The sequence below is a fragment of the Homo sapiens genome, chromosome 7 (genome assembly GCF_000001405.40).
Source record: "Homo sapiens chromosome 7, GRCh38.p14 Primary Assembly".
Classification (NCBI taxonomy): Eukaryota; Metazoa; Chordata; class Mammalia; order Primates; family Hominidae; genus Homo; species Homo sapiens.
The window spans coordinates 149759278-149776744 of NC_000007.14; the positions used below are offsets into that span (position 1 = coordinate 149759278).

Here is a 17467-nt window from a genome sequence, read left to right on the forward strand (position 1 = left end):
TCCGCCTCCTCTTTGTTCCAGTCCTAGCTCCAGTCAAAACTCAACCAGGATCCTCCTCCCTCAGAAACCCCCTGACTGCTCCAGCCCATGCCCTCTCCTGAAGAATAGGATACCATACCTGGGTTGAGTTTTAGGCGTGCCGTGAAACTCCAGCCTTCTCTCCCAGCTAAGGGTTAGGTTTGTGGGTCAGGAACCACGCATGATATTTATATTTACTTCTCTGGAGTCTCCCAAAGCACCCAGCGCCCAGGGCCATGAGTGATCCTTAATTAAACTTGCCTTACATCTGAACTATCAACTCCATGAGGGCGAGAGCTGTCATTCTATTCCTACCATGTCTGCACAAGGCTGGGTAGATTTTAAAGCTCAGCCAATGTTTATGGAGGATTAAAATGCTGGACTCGCCCTGGATGCCTGAGGCAGTCAAGCCTGGGGAACATAACCAGAGCACTCTACTAGCAGCTCTTGGTGTCCGACCCTGCAGATGGAGAAGGAGAAGATACAGGAGGCCAGGCTGCGCAAAAGATTCTTGTGTCTTACCAGTCCTGTGATAGGCAAGATTCACTAAAGCCCGAATGAAGTATATATGTCTTTAGTCTCCTCCCTTCACTATGCTCTGACTCTACCCTGCCAAACCCAGTCTTGATGATTAATTTCATTTCCCCAGCATGGACAAGAGGAACAGTCCAGGCACCTGAGAATCTTCCAATATAAAGCAATACACTGGCCATGTGGCACTCTGGCTGTTTACTGACCATTTCCCCTGCTCCTCAAATTGAAAAGGCAGCAGCAACTTGGGAACTAAGCGCTTGGATGCACTCGGTACTTGTTAATTGGTGCTCATGCTCTAAGGAGCTGAGTCTTGGGGTTAGGCTTGAAATCCTAAGCAGATGAGAAACCCTGCCCTCTTTAACCACTGCTCTGCTCTCCTCTTGGGTGCCTAACCTCGCCTGTGGGAGGGCAGCCCTGTTCTTTGTCTTTCTCCACCTCCTTCCAGCAAGATCGTCATCAGAATGGCTGTGGACTGGGTTCCATTTAAGATTCCCCAGGTTGGCCAGGCGCGGTGGCTCATGCCTATAATCCCAGCATTTTGGGAGGCCAAGGCGGGTGGATCATGAGGTCAGGAGTTCAAGGCCAGCCTGACCAACATGGTGAAACCTTGTCTCTACTAAAAATACAAAAATTAGCTGGGCATGGTGGTGCGTGCCTGCAATCCCAGCTATTCGGGAGGCTGCGGCAGGAGAATTGCTTGAACCCGGGAGGCAGAAGTGGCAGTGAGCTGAGATCGCGCCACTCTAGTTTGGGTGACAGAGTGAGATTCCGTCTCCAAAAAAAAAAACAAAAAACCAAAAAAAAAAAACAAATTCTTCAGGTCTCAGGTATCTATCAGTTGGAGGTTCTAAGAATGGGATAGATTAGCAGTGGAGGGAGGAGATAGGAACCCACTGAAAGGACTGAGAGGAAGATGAAGGGTTAACTGGACACAAGTGTGTAAAGATTATCTGAGTCAACGGCTGCCGAAAATTCTGGTATGAGATAGCAATGAGATAGTTTGAGCTCAAAAGCTCAAACTTTTGAGATGGGGTGGAGGTAGGGTACAGAGAACTGAGGGCTCTGATAAAGGCTAAGCCATGGGCCCAACTGAGGCATCGCTAGGTTGATGCCTGGTGGGGTTAAGGCCTCCATGGTGTTTCTTCTATTAACCATCACAATCCAGGGAACTTGGATATTGTCATTCTTGTGACAAATGAATATGTCCCATCTCCCTCACAAACAAGAATTCGGGTCTGTGACATGGAACAGAGCTCTCCAACGTGTTGGGAGTTCCAGGGATATGGAGGTCATTCTCTCAGCTATCAGGACCACCAGGTGTGGGGCTGGGGCGGCCCCAGCCATCACCACAGGCCTCCAGTGGACTCCCCAGTGACCCTAATATTATCCTTACCTAAATGTGCCAACCCATTAAAAAGATTGGGAAGAGTTTCTGTTTGGGATGATGAAAAAGTCCTGGATATAGACAGTGGTGATGGTGACGCACCATTGTGAGAGTGCTTAAGCCACTGAATTGTACATGTAAACATGGTTAAAAGGGTAAATTTCATGTTATTTATGTTTTACCACAATCAAAAATTTTTTAAAGATTGGGAAGCACAGGCTCCATGGAGATTAGAGAAGGAGGAGGGGCTGCTGACTAGGGGTAGATAAGAGTTGGGAGGACAGAGAATCGAGGGAGAAATATGCTGCAAGAAGGGGAGGTTGGGGCCTTCTCTCTCCTTCTCCCCGGGCGATCCACAAATCCTGTCTATGCAGCTCCATGTTCAGCCCCACCCCCTCTCCACAGCTTTCTCTGTCCCCTCAGGTCTTTAGAGCCCACAGAATGCCACCTAGCACTTAGATTCTCTGCTTCATGGACATCGATGTCTCATCTCCAGTCAGACTGCAGGTTCCTTACAGACAGGTGGCATATGCTAGACATCTCTGTGCTACTCACAGGGACTGGCACATTCTGGGCACATACTGGGGACATTCTGGGCACATACTGGGTACTCAATACCCGTTATACAGTAAGTCTCTTTTTTTGAACAGGATTGGGGAGAAGTAAATAAATTTTAGCTAACTAATAAAACCTTTCTCTTTTAGATATAGAACTAGGAAATGAGTGCTTTACTTCTCTGAGCATTTTCACACACCAGGATGTGGTTCTAAAGTCAACAATTTGGTGCCTTATCAAGGTAGTTGTACCTGGGGTGGCTCAGACCTGGGGTGACATAGGGGTGGTGATGGTAGGTATTGATTTTAGTGAGGCCACCACTTTCTGAGTCTAGAACTCTTCCTTGGGAAGAGCCTTCAGAAACCTCAGTCTTCCATCACACGGTGCATTTGTTGAGCAGACGTCTTCTGAGTTGGCTATTGCCAGACTGGATGCTAAACAAATTTTGACTATTTGCAAACAAGCTAAAAAATAAGGACAAAGATATGCATGCCTTGTAGAGAATCTTTAAAATAATGTGAAATCCTGAAAACGTCTGGCACATGGTAGGCCTCACCAAATATGCTGTAAGATCTAAAAGCTGTTCTTACACGAGAATTCCAGAATGTTTCAAGAAAGGAAAACATTGGTCTAACCAACACAAACATTGTTTTTATGTGTTTGATTTTAAAAGTCTGTGAAATGACTTTTTTTTTAGCTGGAATCACAAGCTCTGTGCCTAAGAGGCTGGGTAGGGAACCTTGGAGAAGCCCAGTTGGGCTTTAAGACGAGGGGGAGTGCTGAGGACTCCGATCCCTTAGTCCAAAGAGGACAACTTCCACTCAGCTCCAGCCACCAGTTGCCAAACCTTTTGCTTTTTTCACAACAGAAGATGGAAGTCCAGATTTTTATGTGACATTTCAAGATATTTAAAATAACCTGGAGTCACCAACTCATTCTTGGCCACGAAACTTATAAACACGCCTGCATTCATGCATCCTCTGACAGGCCTCCCAGCCAACGCCCCTCCCTCACCTGTGTCCAGGTCTCATTGTCTCCTACCTTCTCTGGGATTTTGCTTTTGTAGTTCACCATTGTGATCTGAATTCTGACCCAGCTGCTCCTGATGCTGCTGTCACCGAGACTGGATTTGCTTGCAGCGACATCCAAAGGGTTTGGAAGCCCTTCGCCTAGGTGACCTCTCTCTAGCCTCCAGCGGCCTCCTCCTCCCTGAAGCGCGTCTTTCCTCGGCTCCTCTATCACCTCTACCTGGGGCTTTCCTGTCCAGTCCTTGCACCTGCACTCTCCAATCTTGTTTACAGGCCTCTCTCGGTGCCATCCCCTAATGTTGGTGTCCCAGAGGCTTCTGTCCCAGGCCCCCAATTTCTCACTCCACACTCAGTTCTTTGGGAAGATCATCCGCTCCCCCATAGCTTCAGAAGCACATGCGGATAGTTCTCAGCTGTATGTCTGCAGCCTGGCCCTCTCCTGAGCTCTCCACCCACACAGCCTCCTTCCTGCTGGGCACACACTGCTCACAACTCAGGAGACCCAGGACTACTCCCCCAGCACAAAGCTGCCCCCAACACCGAGTCTCCCTTCTGGGAGTATGCCACTGTCATCCAGTCAGTGTCAAACAGAAATCGGGCTGAGCTCATTGATTCCCCGACCCACACTAGTCAACAGGTCCTGTATCCTCTGCCTATTAAGTGTCTCTTGAATCCATCACTTCTCTGTCTCCTCTGACACAACTATGGTCCCAGGTCACCACAACCTGTCACCAGGACAACTGATGCGCAGGCCTCCAATTTCGCTCCCGAGTTGTCTAGCCAAACATCTTTCCAAACTTCAGGAATGTGAGCGTGGCCCTGTTCCTGCCCCGCCTAACCTTGCCATGGTTCCCCCTCCCTTGGACACGGTCTAAACTGCTTCACAGGTGTGAAAGACCCCTTCATCTCTCAGGCCACTGCTCTGGCCTCTCATCCCCGCTCACTGGGAAATGAATAATGCTGCGCTCCAAGTCCCACGAGAGGCAGAGGGGGGTCAAACCCAAGACTACTCACTGCAAGCTCCATAGGCTCCCCATCGTCCTACCCTCCCCGTTCACGGCCAGGCAGCCCTAGCTCTCATACCTGCGTGGGCTGGAGAAGGGCAATACAGAGACTTCTGGACCCAGCAGCCTTAAGAAAGGACTTGTTGCAAGTGCGATGTGAAAGCAACCTTCATCTGCAGTGGATGTGCCACCTCCTTCCTCACGCCACCGAGCTCCGAATCCCCCAGGAGAGTTGCGGAGACCACACAGAGCTCCCAAGCCCACGCCAAAGGACGGCCTGCCCCCCTTCAGCTCTAGTCGGTGACACGTGGCGTGAGAGAAATGCACCCCAATCTTCCTTCCTTATACTTCCGAGCTAGAAGCAGGAGCCAGGATGGTGGCTTAGTGAATAAATATATTACATTTTTATTTGGGAGAACCAATTAACAGCAGCTGGCTAAATGTAACTCACCCAGGACAGAAGGGGAAGTGGAGGGGGGTGGTCTGTGTGTGGATGGAGGTGGGACAGTGGCTAAGGAGAGTCAGGTGTTCCCTCCCCCAATTCATTTAGCAGCCCCAGAACTTTCCGATTTTAACTTTAATGAAACTTTAAGTACATAAATAACCACTCTTTCCTGCCCTGGTTGAGGCCGCGCTGGGTCCGGGAAATATCTGCTTTCCAACGGGGCACCTGGGTGGGAGCCTTCCAAGAACTTCAGCTCAGCGGTTCCCAGCAAGGGTTCGCTGAGTCTCTGTCCTAGGAGGTCCGAGCTGGGTATGCTGTGCGGACGCAGACACTGCGGGAAGGAAACAGGTGTCCCGCGGCGGCCAAACCTTCGGGCAGCAGCCCAGGTCGCCTTGCTCACCCCAGGCGGTCTCATGGCACGGGCCTCTCGAAACTGTGGGCAAGAAAGGGTCCTCGTGAGAACTAGGCTCAGAAGAAGAGCGGGGGCGGCGCCACCTCGGGGGGAGCGGACCAGGCTGGGGCCGCAAGGGCGGCGTCCGGGGCCGCGTGGGCGGCTTCGCCGTGAATGAGCTGGTGCCGCACCAGGTGGGTCTTGCGGCTGAAGCTCTTTCCGCACTGCGGGCAGGAGAAGGGGCGGGAGCCTGTGTGGATCGCCTGGTGGCGGACTAGGTTGGTTTTGGAGCTGAAGCTGCGGGCGCAGACGGCGCAGGCGTGGGGGCGGCTGCCAGTGTGCACCGCCTGGTGGCGGCCCAGGTGCGACTTGCGGCTGAAGCGGCGGCCGCACTGAGCGCAGGCGAAAGGCCTGGCGCCGCTGTGGGCCCTGGAGTGGGCGACCAGATTAGGCCGCGAGCCGAAGCGGCGGTCACACTGCGTGCAGGCGAAGGGCCGTTCGCCCGTGTGCACGCGCGGGTGCCGCGCCAGGTGCTGCCCATGGGAGAAGCCGCGCCCGCAGTCCGGGCAGAAGAAGGACCGCTCGCCCGAGGGGGCGCGCTGGGGCACCACGGGATCGGATCCTGGGCCGCAGCCCGGTCCGCCAGGCGCGCTGGCCAGGGGCTTGGCGGCGGGGGCATCCACGGTGGCGCCCAGTGCGCACTCATCGCACCCAAAGGGGCGACCCTCGCTGCGGTGCAGACACTGGTGCGTGGCGAGGTTCTTTTTCCAGCCGAAGCTCAAGCCGCAGTCGGAGCACGCGAAAGGCTTTGGCCCGGGAAAGGATGGGGTCGGGGACGGGGCAGTGGAATGAGGAGAAGCGGACGAGTCGGGAGAGGGCCTGGCCGGGCCGGCCGTCTGGTGCACCCTTTGGTGCCGCACCAAGTGCTGCTTGTGCGTGAAGCTGCGTGCGCACTGTGCGCACTGGTAGGGCCTCTCGCCCGTATGGATGCGCTGGTGCCGAATCAAGTGCGTCTTCTTGCGAAAGCGCTTCTCGCATTCCGTGCAGGGGAAGGGCCGCTCGCCGGTGTGGGTCTTTTGGTGCGAGCCCAGGTGGATCTTCTGGCTGAAGCGCTTGCCGCACTCCGCGCACGGGTAGGGCCGCTCGCCCGTGTGCGTGCGCAGGTGGCGGGTCAGATGGGCCTTCTTGCTGAAGCGCTTGTCGCACTCGGAGCACGGGAAAGGCCGCTCGCCGCGGTGGCTGCGCTGATGCAGTAGCATGTGGGCGCGCTGCGTGAAGCTGCGGCCGCAGTCCGGGCAGGCGCAGGGGCCCTCGCCCCGGTGCAGCCGCTGGTGCAGTCGCAACGTCAGCTGGTCCCGGAAGCGCCGCTCACACTCCCCGCAGCCGTAGGGCTTCTCCGGCATCGGACCCCACCCAGACAGCGCGAGCCCACTCAGTGCCCCCGGGGCCCCTGGCTCCAGTTTGTACGCGGCAGCCAGATGCCCCAGGTCAGGCGCGGGAAAGGGGCTGGGAAGTAACGATAGATGCTGGGGCCATTCGACCTCCTCTTCTGCCTCCTGATCTTCGTCCTCCACCTTCACCTTCCGAATCATCCACTCCTCTCCTGGAAAGTCAAAACAAGAATTGTCTATTGAGCTCCACGTGCGGCAACGTCTATTTAACCACAGGATCTCCACTTCCTGGAGCCCCGCGGTCTGGCTCTGCTCTCCACTCTACCTAACGCTTCCCGGGAGTGACCAAATCCGCAGCTCTTCTCAGGCCCCCTCCTGCATTCTCCTGAACCTGTGATGCGTGTGAACACCACACGGCTCCCGGGGGCTTCTTCCCCGGCCTGGATGTGCCCAGGAGCCCTCCAGCACCCCTGAAGAGGAAGGTTGCCCAAGTTTCAGTCCTCCTGCTTCGCTCCAGGTTCACATCCCTTTGGTGGCTGGCCCAGATCTTCCTGCTCCAGCAGTGCCTTTCTGGGACCTCAGTCTCCATCTCTGGTCCAGCAGCTCTCCTTGGTACTGCAAACTGGCCGCAGCTCAGCAGCTTTCTCACCACACACCTGAGCTTCCCAAACTGAGCCCTGGCTGACTTTAACCTTAGGACTAGAGCCTCCTTCCCTGGTGGCCTTGAAAACTTGATCTTTGACATCTCACCTGGGCTGCTTCTCTTGCTCTCTAACCCCTACCCCCAGCCCACCTTACCTCTAGTGGCCACGGAACCAGGGTACCCACGTATTCCTGCTACTCCCTTCTTTCCTGCTGGACAGCCTGAGGAGAAGTCCCATTTAGGAAGACCACGATGGAGTTTACAGGGTCTGGGGAACTAGTGAACACTGGCTCTGGAGAAACAGGGAAGGCCCTCTAGGGAAGCCTCAGCCTAAGGGCAGGTTGCAGGGGATTCCGCTGGAGTGTTGCCCCTGTCGGGTGCTGCAATGGTCCAGCCTAGAGGAAGGAGCCCGGGGTCCAGACGGGAGGGTCCAACTTAGGTTCTCCTCTGTCACTAACTAGGAGTGTGACTTTGGTTCAGTCACTTAACCTCTTTGAGTTACATTTCTTAGTCCGCTAAGAAAATTTGCCCTTTGTGTAAGAGTTGGACTAGTTTAAAGCTCCCACGCCTGTGCTGCATCATCAGCTCCTGGGAAACGTTGAGAAAATGCACAAATGGGGGCAAGGCCCACGAACGTGTTCTCATCTTTAAAGCTCCCAAAGTGATTCTCATTTGTGAATCATTTAAGCAGATAATTTGGGTTCCTGTCTGGCCTGAGCCTTGATTCCATCACACGTGGACTTCCACAATCAGAGGTACTCCCAGTTTCTTCTATCAGTCCATTGATTCCAGACCCCTGTCTACTTATCACACTGTGATACTGCTTTCACCTTCATTGTGGCACTCTTTACTTTTCTACTCAAGAACCATCAATAGCTCCTATTTATTTATTTTTAATTGAGTCAGGGTCTTGCTCTGTCTCCCAGGCTGGAGTGCAATGGGACGATAATGACTCATTGCAGCCTCAAACACCTGGGCCCAAGTGATCCTCTTACCTCAGCCTCCCAAGCAGCTGTGACTATGGGTGTGCACCAACATGCCCAGCTAATATTTCTTACTTTTTCAGAGATGGGGTCTCGCTGTGTTGCCCAGGCTGGTCTTGAAATCCTGGCCTCAAGCAGTTCTCCCACCCCAGCTTCCTGAGTCGCTGGGATTACAGGCATGAGCCACAGTGCCCAGCCCAGCACCCTATTATTTGAAGATAAAACAGGTTCTAGCTGCATCTGAGGCTCACCCCACCCTAGTCCAACTTTCTTTCTCCCAGGCATGGACCTTCCACTTCAGCCAAGCTGCTCTCCTCCCCTTTCCTGCTTCAAGATCTTCTCAGCCTAGAACGTCTTCCCATCCTCCACCCCACCCCTTTCAGAACTGAAGTCTACACCTTTCTTAAAATGCAGCACAAATTAATGTTTTTTGACAAATTCCCAGTGCATGCGGATCTTTTGGCATAAACTCCTATAGCACTTACTGTTAACACTTTTGTGCTTATTTGTGACTTGCCTTTATACTGTTCTTTTAATTCTTTGTTCTAGCTCATATTAAGGTCATCTCAACCAGATTTTCTCTTCTGAGGTATGGACATTTTGTGTTCCATTTCTTTTGTGTCTAATAAGAAAGGTGTCTTTATGTGTCTGATAAAAATGGGGACTGCTGCCACTTCTCGAGGACCAACTGTAGATGAAGTGTTGTACACACACTGTCACAAACCTTCACAAACCGAAGCTCCTGGAGGCAAGGTGGCCTATCCAAGGGCACTCAGCTAGTAAATGCAGAACAAAGATTCAAACCAGGTCCAGGTAACTCTACAGTTCATCTCTTTCCACTGTACTTAACACAGCCTGTATGTAGTCGGCACTCAATAAATCCTTGCTGAATAAATGATATCCCTCAGGCAAAAGGTAGTAAGGATGGTGGCAGTGGAAGGAAGTCATGGTGGGATTGTTGAGAGAGAGTGAGCAGTTTGATCACCCTGGGTATGAGGAGATGAGTTGAATACAGCAGATGTGGAGCATCTGGGTACCCTCACGATCAGTGGAAGCTGGGGAAGGCGGCATGTCAGGGGAGAGGCAGTGAAAATGTTGATCAAAGCCATGTATCTTCATGGCAACTGTAATTAGACTTAGACTGGGAGAAATAAAGAGGGGGAGGTAGGATTTCTAGAAGGCATTTGAGGGGAGGCTGTGTTTCTCTTTGGTGACCAGCCTCTCTGACTCCTGCCATCTACAGATGTGAAATTCCCTTTCGGCATTGAAGCTCCACAGCAGAAAGGTGCCAGGGCCTGAACTCAACTTGGGTTAGAAGGGCCTGGACTGCCTGTCTTGGGGGATTACCTGCCTCATGAGATAGCAGCTCCGGAGCTTGCTGGGCCCCGTTCCCTTGGCCTGAGCCCGTGGTGGGATGAAGTGATGGGAAGACTCACCTGGGCAGGTACCCACAGGCTGAGCCTTCTGTGCTGAGCACGCCTGGCCTCTGCAGGGAGCCTCGGCTTGTTCTGTGTGGGCACCTTCCTCCGGTGTAGGGGCCTCGTGCCCTGGCAGAGAATAGGATACCTCAAGGACTCTGGAGACATCACAGATGGCCAAAGGGCCCCACTGGTGCTGGGAAGCAGGAGCATTTGAAACCCTGGCTCCAGCAGGGCCCACAGGGTTCCTCCCACATCCTACCTGAATTAAGGGGCTGAGTTCCCAGCTTCCCTGGGGCTGCCTCAGACTCCTTCAAGCAGGGCGGCTGCTAAGGGTATGTAATGAGATGGACTACAAGGTTACAAGAGCCACCACTGTGAAGAGTTCCTGGAATATGTGTATGTAAGACAGTGGAAGCAAGGAAGTCCCCTGACCTGATGCCCCTAGGAGAAGGGCTGGGGACTTCCCAGCCCCCAGATGGACCCTGGTTCCAAGCAAATCACTGGGGAGAATCAGGATGTCAAAAGCCAGGCACATTCCTGCCTTAGTGCTCTGTCCTGGCTGTACTCCTGCCTGAAGCACTTTTCCCAAATCTGCTGAGCTGCCGCCTTCACCTCTTTTATTTTTCTTTTTTTAGAGAAAGGTCCTCTCTGTCACCCAGGCTGGAGTGCAGTGGCACGATCATACCTCACTGCAGCCTGGGCTTCAAGGGATCCTCCTGCCCCAGCCTCCCAAGTAGCTGGGAACACAGGCATGAGCCACCACATCCAGCTAACTTTTAATTTTTTGTGGAGACAGGGTCTTGCCATGTTGCCTAGGCTGGTCTCGAATGGGGCTCAAGCAATCCTTCCACCTTGGCCTCCCAAAGGGCTGAGAATACAGGCATAAGCCACCATGCCCGGCTTCCCCAAGCTCCTTCAAATCCTGCACAAATCTTACCTTCCCAAAGAAACCCAGTCTCCTCACCCTATTTAATCCTATAACATGCCCCACCCACCCCCACCTGCAGCTGTCTCGGCCCCCTTCAACCTGCTTCACTGGACATTATCCTCTCCCCCAGAGCTCTTATCACCTTTGAACATAGTTTAGAAATTTCCTTATTTATTGTTTGCTGACTCTCTGCACTCATTAGGATTAAGCTCTTGAAGGTAGGGATCTTTGACTATTTGGTCACTGAGGTATTCCAAATGTTTAGAATAGCATCCCACACATAATAGGTGCTCAATAAATATTTGATGAATGGAAGGAAGGAAGGAAAGAAGGAAGGGAGGGAGGGAGGGGGGAGGGAAGAAGGGAGAGAGGTAGGGAGGGCAGGAGGAAAGCAGGGGGACTCCTCCCTGAGCCTTTCCAGGGTTCCTGTTACCTACCTGAGCACACCCCCAGTGCTCTCTCTTCCCTAGAAGAGGACATCTGCTCCTGGGCATTATGGGATCCTTCCCTGGGCTCACTTTGGGGGGCCATCTCTGGCTGTCCCACAGAGAATCCTGTTACAGGCAGAAGGATGGGTCCAAGTAAAGCATCCAGTACAGAACAAGTAATCAGAGGCGGGGGCTGTTCCCCTTCCCAGCCTGCCCAAGAGACTTTTCCCAACCTGCTCAGGAAGGACAGGGTCTCTCACCACATGGACAGGGACAGGTATCAACCTCAGTCCCTTTGAGTTGAGTCAAAAAGGACAGAAGGAAGAGATGGCATAGATGTAAATATGACTGTGCTCTGTGAGTGCTCAAGTGCACATATGGTCTAGAGCGCAGCCTCCACCATGTTCCAGGCATTCAGACACCCCGTGCTACAGAAAAGGAGGCTGACCTACAGGCCCCTGGGGCCTCAGGGTTGCAGCCTCCTGAGGGTGGCTCTGCTGTCTGAGTTGTAGATGCCCCTGAATCCTCCTAAGCTTTTCCCCAAGTCCCTTCATTTCTGCCAGCTCACCCAGGGAGCTGAGGGCCTCCAAGGTCTCTCTCATGGTAACCCAGAGTAGCTCCTCCTGGGGATCAGGCCACAGAACCTATGGAGAAAAGACAGCCTTGTTCAGATTTTTCCCACGCCAGCTTCCACCTGGGCCCTGGCTCTGCCCAACCTCTCCCTATGGGCTCTTCCAGGAGCTCCAAAGGTGACATCCCCAGGTACAGCTGGGGGAAATTTGGGAAACTGGGTTTAGAAAGCCAAGCCAAGAGATCTTTGAAGGTGGCCCAAGAAGGCCTTGAAACGATTTCTGTCAGCTCTGGAAACCAGCCGCGCCACCCCCTCACCTGGCAGGTCTGTCACCGCCAACCCCGGCCCATCAGCACCGCAACTCCACGCCCCAGCGTCCTTGCCTGGGAAAGTGCAGGCAAGATTCGATTCTCTGGGGAGAGGCTTGAGGGTGGGAGCCCAGGGTGGGGAGTGGGAAACTTCATCTCCCAGGTCCTCCAGCTGTCACTGCCCGAGCTGGTGAAATAGGAGCCAGCCCAGGGGCGGGAGTGAGTGTCACTTTAGGGGTACTGCTTGGGGAGGTCCTCGAGAGGATCCTCTTGTAGCTAGAAAATGATCGCCTCTTCCTAAACCCCTACCACAAAACCACCTCTCACCCGTGCCGGGCTGCCCAAGGCCCGGACACCGCCCCTGCTGCCCCTTCCCTGCTCCGCCTTCCGCGGCTCCCCCGCCCCTCCCCCAGCAGACTCCCCTCCCCCATCTCCCCGGCAGCCTTCCCTCTGCCCCGCCCCTCCCGCTCCCTCTGCCTTCCGCCCTCTCTCCCCTGCGAATCGGGCCGGCGCCTCGGCTCCGCCCCCGGCCCCGCCCCTCAGGCTCCGCCCGCCCGAGCCCGGCAGGGCCAACCCCTCGAGGCCCCGTCCGGGTCGGCCCTCCGCTGCCACCGCCTCCCCTGACCCTACGCTCCGGGCCGCCTCGGCGGCAGCGCTCCCCTCCCCCTCTCAGACTCCAGGCTGCCTTTCCCTACCCTCCCGGTTCTCCCCCGCTCCATCTCCCTCCCCGGCTGCACACCCTCTCCCTTCCTTTCCCCCTCCTCTTTTCCTTCCTCGCCAACCCCCGCCCTCCTCCTCTCAGCTCTTTTCCCCAACCCAGTTCTCCTCTCCCCTCCCTCCTCTCCTCCCCCACCCCGGTTTCCCTTCCTTCTCCTTTCCTCGCCTCACCTCGGTTCCCTTCCCCTCCCCCTTTCCAGCCCTCCCCCACGTCTCCCCACCGCCCTCCCCCTCCCCCCTCCCTTCTGCAGCTCTCCTTCCCCTCCGAGGCCCCCGCCTCCCTTCCCCCTCTGTCTCCCCAGCAGGCTCCAGCTTCGCTTCCCTCCCCGTCCCCAGTCCCCAGAACCGCTCTTCCCCTCCCCCCTCCCAGGCTGCTTCCCAGCTCCCGGGTCCTCCGGCCCCCAAGCCTGGGGGTCTAGGGCTGACCCGCTCTCTCGGGACCTTCCCGCGGGCCCTGCCCTCCCCACTCCGTCTCCCCTCCGAACACCCCTCCGCGCCTCTCTTCTCCGCCGCGGCGCCCCCTCCCTATTTCTGCTCCCCTCGGACTTCTCACCCCTCCCAAGTTTTCCTCCCGACGGGACCCTCAGCTCCACCTCCCTGCCCCGCCGCCCTCCCAAGCAGCTCCGATCGCCGACTTCATTCCAGGTCCCGGCCCCCTCCCCAGCTCCGGGGCTCACCTGTCAGCGCCCTCCTCTCCCGCCCCTACCGAGTGGCCCGGTCCCCAGCGCCCGCTTCTTCCTCCCCTTCCCCCTCGGCCCCCTCCCACACTCCCTCTCTCCTCCCCTCGGGGCCCGTCGTCCCCCTTCCCACCTGCCTCCCGCCCGACCCCCTCCCAGCCCCCGCCCTTCCCTCCAGCCCCCCCGGTCTCCTCTACCCCCACAGCCCTCACCCTGCCCGCGCCGGCCTTGCCCTCCCTTCCCCCCAGCCCCCGACCTCCCCGGACCCGCGCCCCTCCCCCACGCCCGCCGTCCGCGCCCCTACCCCCGGGGCTGTCACCTGCGCGGAGCCGGCCGTGACCCAACCGCGGCGCTGAGGGAGACGCGGGCGGGGCCGCCTGCAGAGGAGCCTCCCCGGCCCTTACCTGGCTGGCCGGCCGCTCCGCCCGCGCCGCGGGGACCCAGGCGCCCGGGCCTCCTGCCCCGCCGGCTCTGCTCACAATGGCGCTCGCCGCCTGCAGCTCGGGTGCTGACGGCCTGAAAGACTGACAGACTGACAGCCCCGAAACTTCGCGGGGAGGAGAGGGATAGACGCGCGGGGAGTCGAAGCCGGGAAACGGCGCCTGCAAGGGAGGAGGGACCGAGGGAGCGGGCGGAGAGCCCCGGCGCACCGGGCTGGGGGAGGCAGGGGCAGGGGGTTTCAGGAGTGGGGTCCCAGGAGGGAGCACCGTGGGCTTAGGTGGGCAGGTGATGGTCCTAAGGCTCCGAGCCTGGAGTAGGTGTGGAAGTGGGAGCTCAGGACGGGGGAGGGGAGGGGAGGGGAGGGGAGGGTGATGGGAGAGGGGGTGGAGGAGGGCGAGGAGGCTGGGGAGGACAGGCACTCGGGCTGCGGGGAAGGGTGCCAAGGGAGGGTGCTCGCGGCCGCGGAGGGAGGAGCCGGGGAAAGGTGGAGCGCGAACGGGTGGGGGGGTGGCGGGGAGGAGTTGGGGGAACGAGGAGGGGCCGTGTCGGGGGGGAGCCAGCGAGTCGTGCGCTGCCGTCTCTAAGTCGCCGGTGCCAGCCGGGTGTGCAGCGCCGCGCTCCCGCGGGAGGACGGCCCGGGGGGTCGGTCTGGGAAACTCCGGCCCCGCCCCCATTCTCCACCCGGATTCCACCCCGATCCACCCAGACCCGCAGCCCCTCGCCTGGAGTCCCGAGGACCCGATTCGAAACCAGCCGCGGGAGCCGTGGGGGCAGGCGGGAGAGAGGGCTGGGCCCCTGTGCTTGCGAGAACGGGTCCTTCGAAGTAGAAACTGGGGAGAGGACTTTAAGCCAGGTCCCCTGGGAGAAGGCCGGGCCAGGTCGGGAGCTCCAGGGGGCAAGGCTGGGACGGGGCTGGGCGGAGATTCTGAGGGCGGGGTCCGGGGGAGGGTCTGGGAGGGGGCTGCAGAGAGGGGAGGGCTCTATGGGCGGGAGACGATTGCTGGGGGGCCTGCTGGCCCGGACACCACCTGGAGTTAGATGTGGAGGGCAGCCCTCAGCCCTCAGCCCTCAGCCCCAGCTCCTCAGGGGACTCCACTCGCCCTCCCTGCCCAGGTTACGAGGTTTCTCCTTGGCCTTGTTCCCGCTGCGCCCACTCCTGAAAGCTCCGGAGATGCTGAAGTCTGGACTGTTAGTTCCCGGTCTCCTCTCCATGAACTTTCTCCAAACCCCTGGGTTCCAGCTTCCTCCCTTCTGCCCCTTTACGGGAAAGGGTGACTGCAACTCGGGTCTCTTCCCAATCCCAGTGCTGCCTGATCAGCCCCGGTTTGAATCCAGAGCTGAGTGAGGCTGGGAAGGGGAGGGTGTGAATGGCCCTTGAGCTCCTGCTACCACAGCCCACCACAAGGATGAGTGCCTGGAAGAGCGCCCATCACTCGGGCTCAGCTGTGAAGGCTCCTCTGCCTCCAGGATGAAGGGAGCACCTGGAGTAGCATGTGTCACTGTGCGTGCTGGGGTGTGGCCGAGCACCTGTGCCGGTGTTGTGAGACTTACAGTGAGAGTGTGCATGTGTGTAAAACAGGAAAGGGGGGTGTCTGGGTGTGCGTGTGGCTCTTTCTGAGGACTCCAGAGCAGGAGTTGATCCCAGTCATCCGTGACCCCCTGAGAGACTCACTCTGGGCCCTTTTTTGGCCCTGGGACCAATGGTGAACCCAGGAGAAGGAGAGCCCGGCCCAGCTCTGGTTAACAGCAGCCCCCTTCCTCCCCTAGGTGGAATGACTCTACAGGATACTCGGAGGGATATCAGGTTTAGGAGACCGAGGGGTGTGGAGTCGGAGCCAGGCTGCATTCCAGCCCGGGTGTCCGGGTGTGCTCAGAGCTCTGCTGGGACCAGGGTGGACCCCGGATTCCCCTGTGGAGCCTGTCACTGCCCCTCCCAGCCGGATTCTCGGATTATTTCATCCGGCTTAGCTCTGCCCCAGGGCTGGGGGAGCTGGCTCCCCCGCCCACTCCTTCCAGAGGGTCCTCTCATTCCTCAGCATAGGCTCCCCAGTTCTAGACCCCAGAGACTCTAGGAGACCCTCGAAGAAGGAGACAGGGTGGGCCCAACCAGCCACACATAATCATCCCCAGCAAGAAACTGGACCCTGGAGAAAAGGGTACATGTTGCCCACGCATCTCCACACACTCAGGAACCCCAGCTACCCTAGAAGTGCTCCCACTCACTGCCCCCGACTCCTCAGTTTGGGCAAGAGAGGGGCGGGAGGCAGGGGAGCATCATCCAGGCAGAAGTTCAAGGCTGGAAGACCCCATCAGTCGTTTAGCCCAGGAGCTCTTAACCTTTTCATGGGGTCATGGCCCTCTTGAGAATCTAATAAAAGTATAGAACTGTCTTCAGAAAAATGTGCACATACAATTTCAAAGAATTACTGGAGTCTGAGACCTATTTGTGCATCCCTGGGAAGTCCCTGAAATTTTTACTGGGAAGGAAATTGAGGCCCAGAAATGGAGGGTGGCTTGCCCAGAGCCCCATGTTAATTTGTGGTAGTGCCTGAGAGTGTGAAAATACACACACACACACACACACACACACACACACACACACACACACACAAAGGGAAACAGATGCACTGGAAGGGGACAGGAAGGAGACTGTTTCCAGGGAGAGCTGGCCTCTGAGGGGCTGGTGTGGCAGGTCCAATCCGGTTGTGGGCAGCTGGTGCCCTGGGGCATGAGACTGGAATAAAGCCCCCCACAGCCCCCAGAACTGGCCACTGGGCTGCGGGGAGGCTGCGTGGGGCAGGAGAGAGCACCGCTGGCCTCTCTGCCCTCTCTGCAGCATTGCCTCTCTTGAGCCCAAGCCTCACGTTCCCCAAAGGTGCCCTGGGGGTGAGGGCACCATGCTACTCCCTGCCCTCCTCTTTGGGATGGCGTGGGCCCTGGCTGACGGGTAAGCAGCCCACCCTGGACCCCTCTGACAAGGGTCCTCCTTCTGCCGCATGCCCAGGGACCCTCTGGGGCATCAGACTCCGTGCCCCCCACCCCCGGGATCCTCCCTCCACCCCCGCCACTTCCCATGAGTGTCTCTCCCTACCTTAGCATCCTCCTTACTTCAATAACCACCCCTGGGAGTGGTGTCATAGGACAGGGCTTTTGGTGACAGAGGGAATGGTGGCAGCAGCTGTGGTTCCCCATCATGGGCAGGCGGTGGTGTGAGTGGACAGAGACCATCCGTGTGGAGGAGGAAGTGGCACCCCGTCAGGAGGACCTGGTACCCTGTGCCAGCCTCGACCATTACAGCCGCCTGGGCTGGCGGCTGGACCTGCCCTGGAGTGGCCGCTCGGGGCTTACCCGGTCCCCAGCGCCTGGGCTCTGTCCTATCTACAAGTGAGTAAGGGTGAGAGCCTGGGCTGTCTGCCAGGCAGGAAAGGAGTGACAGGCCGGACATCCTGAGAGTGGGGAGGCTCTGGAGGAAGCAGGCATTTGGGAAGTAGGTTTGCAGTGGGCCTGGAGAAGGGTGGAGCGTGTGAGATTAGGGTGGGGGGTGAGTGCGCGCTACGGTGGGCAGGACAGGGAGAGGCCCGAAGCCTGCTCCTTCTACCC

At 57.2% G+C, this 17467-nt stretch overlaps 1 protein-coding gene and 1 pseudogene across 11 annotated transcripts in view, besides 5 other annotated features; one reads left to right on the forward strand and one right to left on the reverse strand.

The window, feature by feature from the left end:
- Positions 1–4904: 4904 nt before the first annotated feature.
- On the reverse strand, positions 4905–17253 carry ZNF467 (zinc finger protein 467). Of its 10 annotated transcripts, XM_006715864.5 has the most exons (6): positions 13831–14311; positions 12108–12219; positions 11722–11797; positions 11163–11279; positions 9813–9923; positions 4905–6962 (listed from the first exon to the last, which is right to left on the reverse strand). In XM_006715864.5, the coding sequence occupies exons 2-6, from the start codon at positions 12186–12188 to the stop codon at positions 5437–5439; spliced, it is 1911 nt and encodes a 636-aa protein (XP_006715927.1). In that variant the 5' UTR covers positions 12189–12219; positions 13831–14311; the 3' UTR covers positions 4905–5436. The 10 variants fall into 10 exon arrangements, with proteins under 10 accessions (XP_006715927.1, XP_047275892.1, NP_001316785.1 ...); XM_047419936.1 differs by lacking the exons at positions 12108–12219; positions 13831–14311 and adding an exon at positions 16959–17253; NM_001329856.2 differs by lacking the exon at positions 12108–12219 and having other exon boundaries at positions 4905–5401.
- Positions 6937–7612: an enhancer, noted in NCBI's record as "H3K27ac-H3K4me1 hESC enhancer chr7:149463303-149463978 (GRCh37/hg19 assembly coordinates)". NCBI's record gives its function as "activates a minimal SCP1, AML or CMV promoter by ChIP-STARR-seq in naive H9 embryonic stem cells {active_cell/tissue: H9 hESC(naive)}" and the evidence as "EXISTENCE:reporter gene assay evidence [ECO:0000049][PMID:30033119]".
- Positions 12238–12327: a silencer, noted in NCBI's record as "silent region_18765". NCBI's record gives its function as "represses an Ori minimal core promoter by ATAC-STARR-seq in GM12878 lymphoblastoid cells {active_cell/tissue: GM12878}" and the evidence as "EXISTENCE:reporter gene assay evidence [ECO:0000049][PMID:35858748]".
- Positions 12338–12657: a silencer, noted in NCBI's record as "silent region_18766". NCBI's record gives its function as "represses an Ori minimal core promoter by ATAC-STARR-seq in GM12878 lymphoblastoid cells {active_cell/tissue: GM12878}" and the evidence as "EXISTENCE:reporter gene assay evidence [ECO:0000049][PMID:35858748]".
- Positions 12668–12817: a silencer, noted in NCBI's record as "silent region_18767". NCBI's record gives its function as "represses an Ori minimal core promoter by ATAC-STARR-seq in GM12878 lymphoblastoid cells {active_cell/tissue: GM12878}" and the evidence as "EXISTENCE:reporter gene assay evidence [ECO:0000049][PMID:35858748]".
- Positions 13754–13933: a silencer, noted in NCBI's record as "silent region_18768". NCBI's record gives its function as "represses an Ori minimal core promoter by ATAC-STARR-seq in GM12878 lymphoblastoid cells {active_cell/tissue: GM12878}" and the evidence as "EXISTENCE:reporter gene assay evidence [ECO:0000049][PMID:35858748]".
- The window catches only part of SSPOP (SCO-spondin, pseudogene), a 57924-nt pseudogene continuing 57221 nt past the window's right edge, over positions 16765–17467 (forward strand). Inside the window, exons 1-2 of the transcript NR_163594.1 lie at positions 16765–16814; positions 17069–17251. The product of NR_163594.1 is annotated as an SCO-spondin, pseudogene (transcript). The remainder of the gene's footprint in view (positions 16815–17068; positions 17252–17467) is intronic.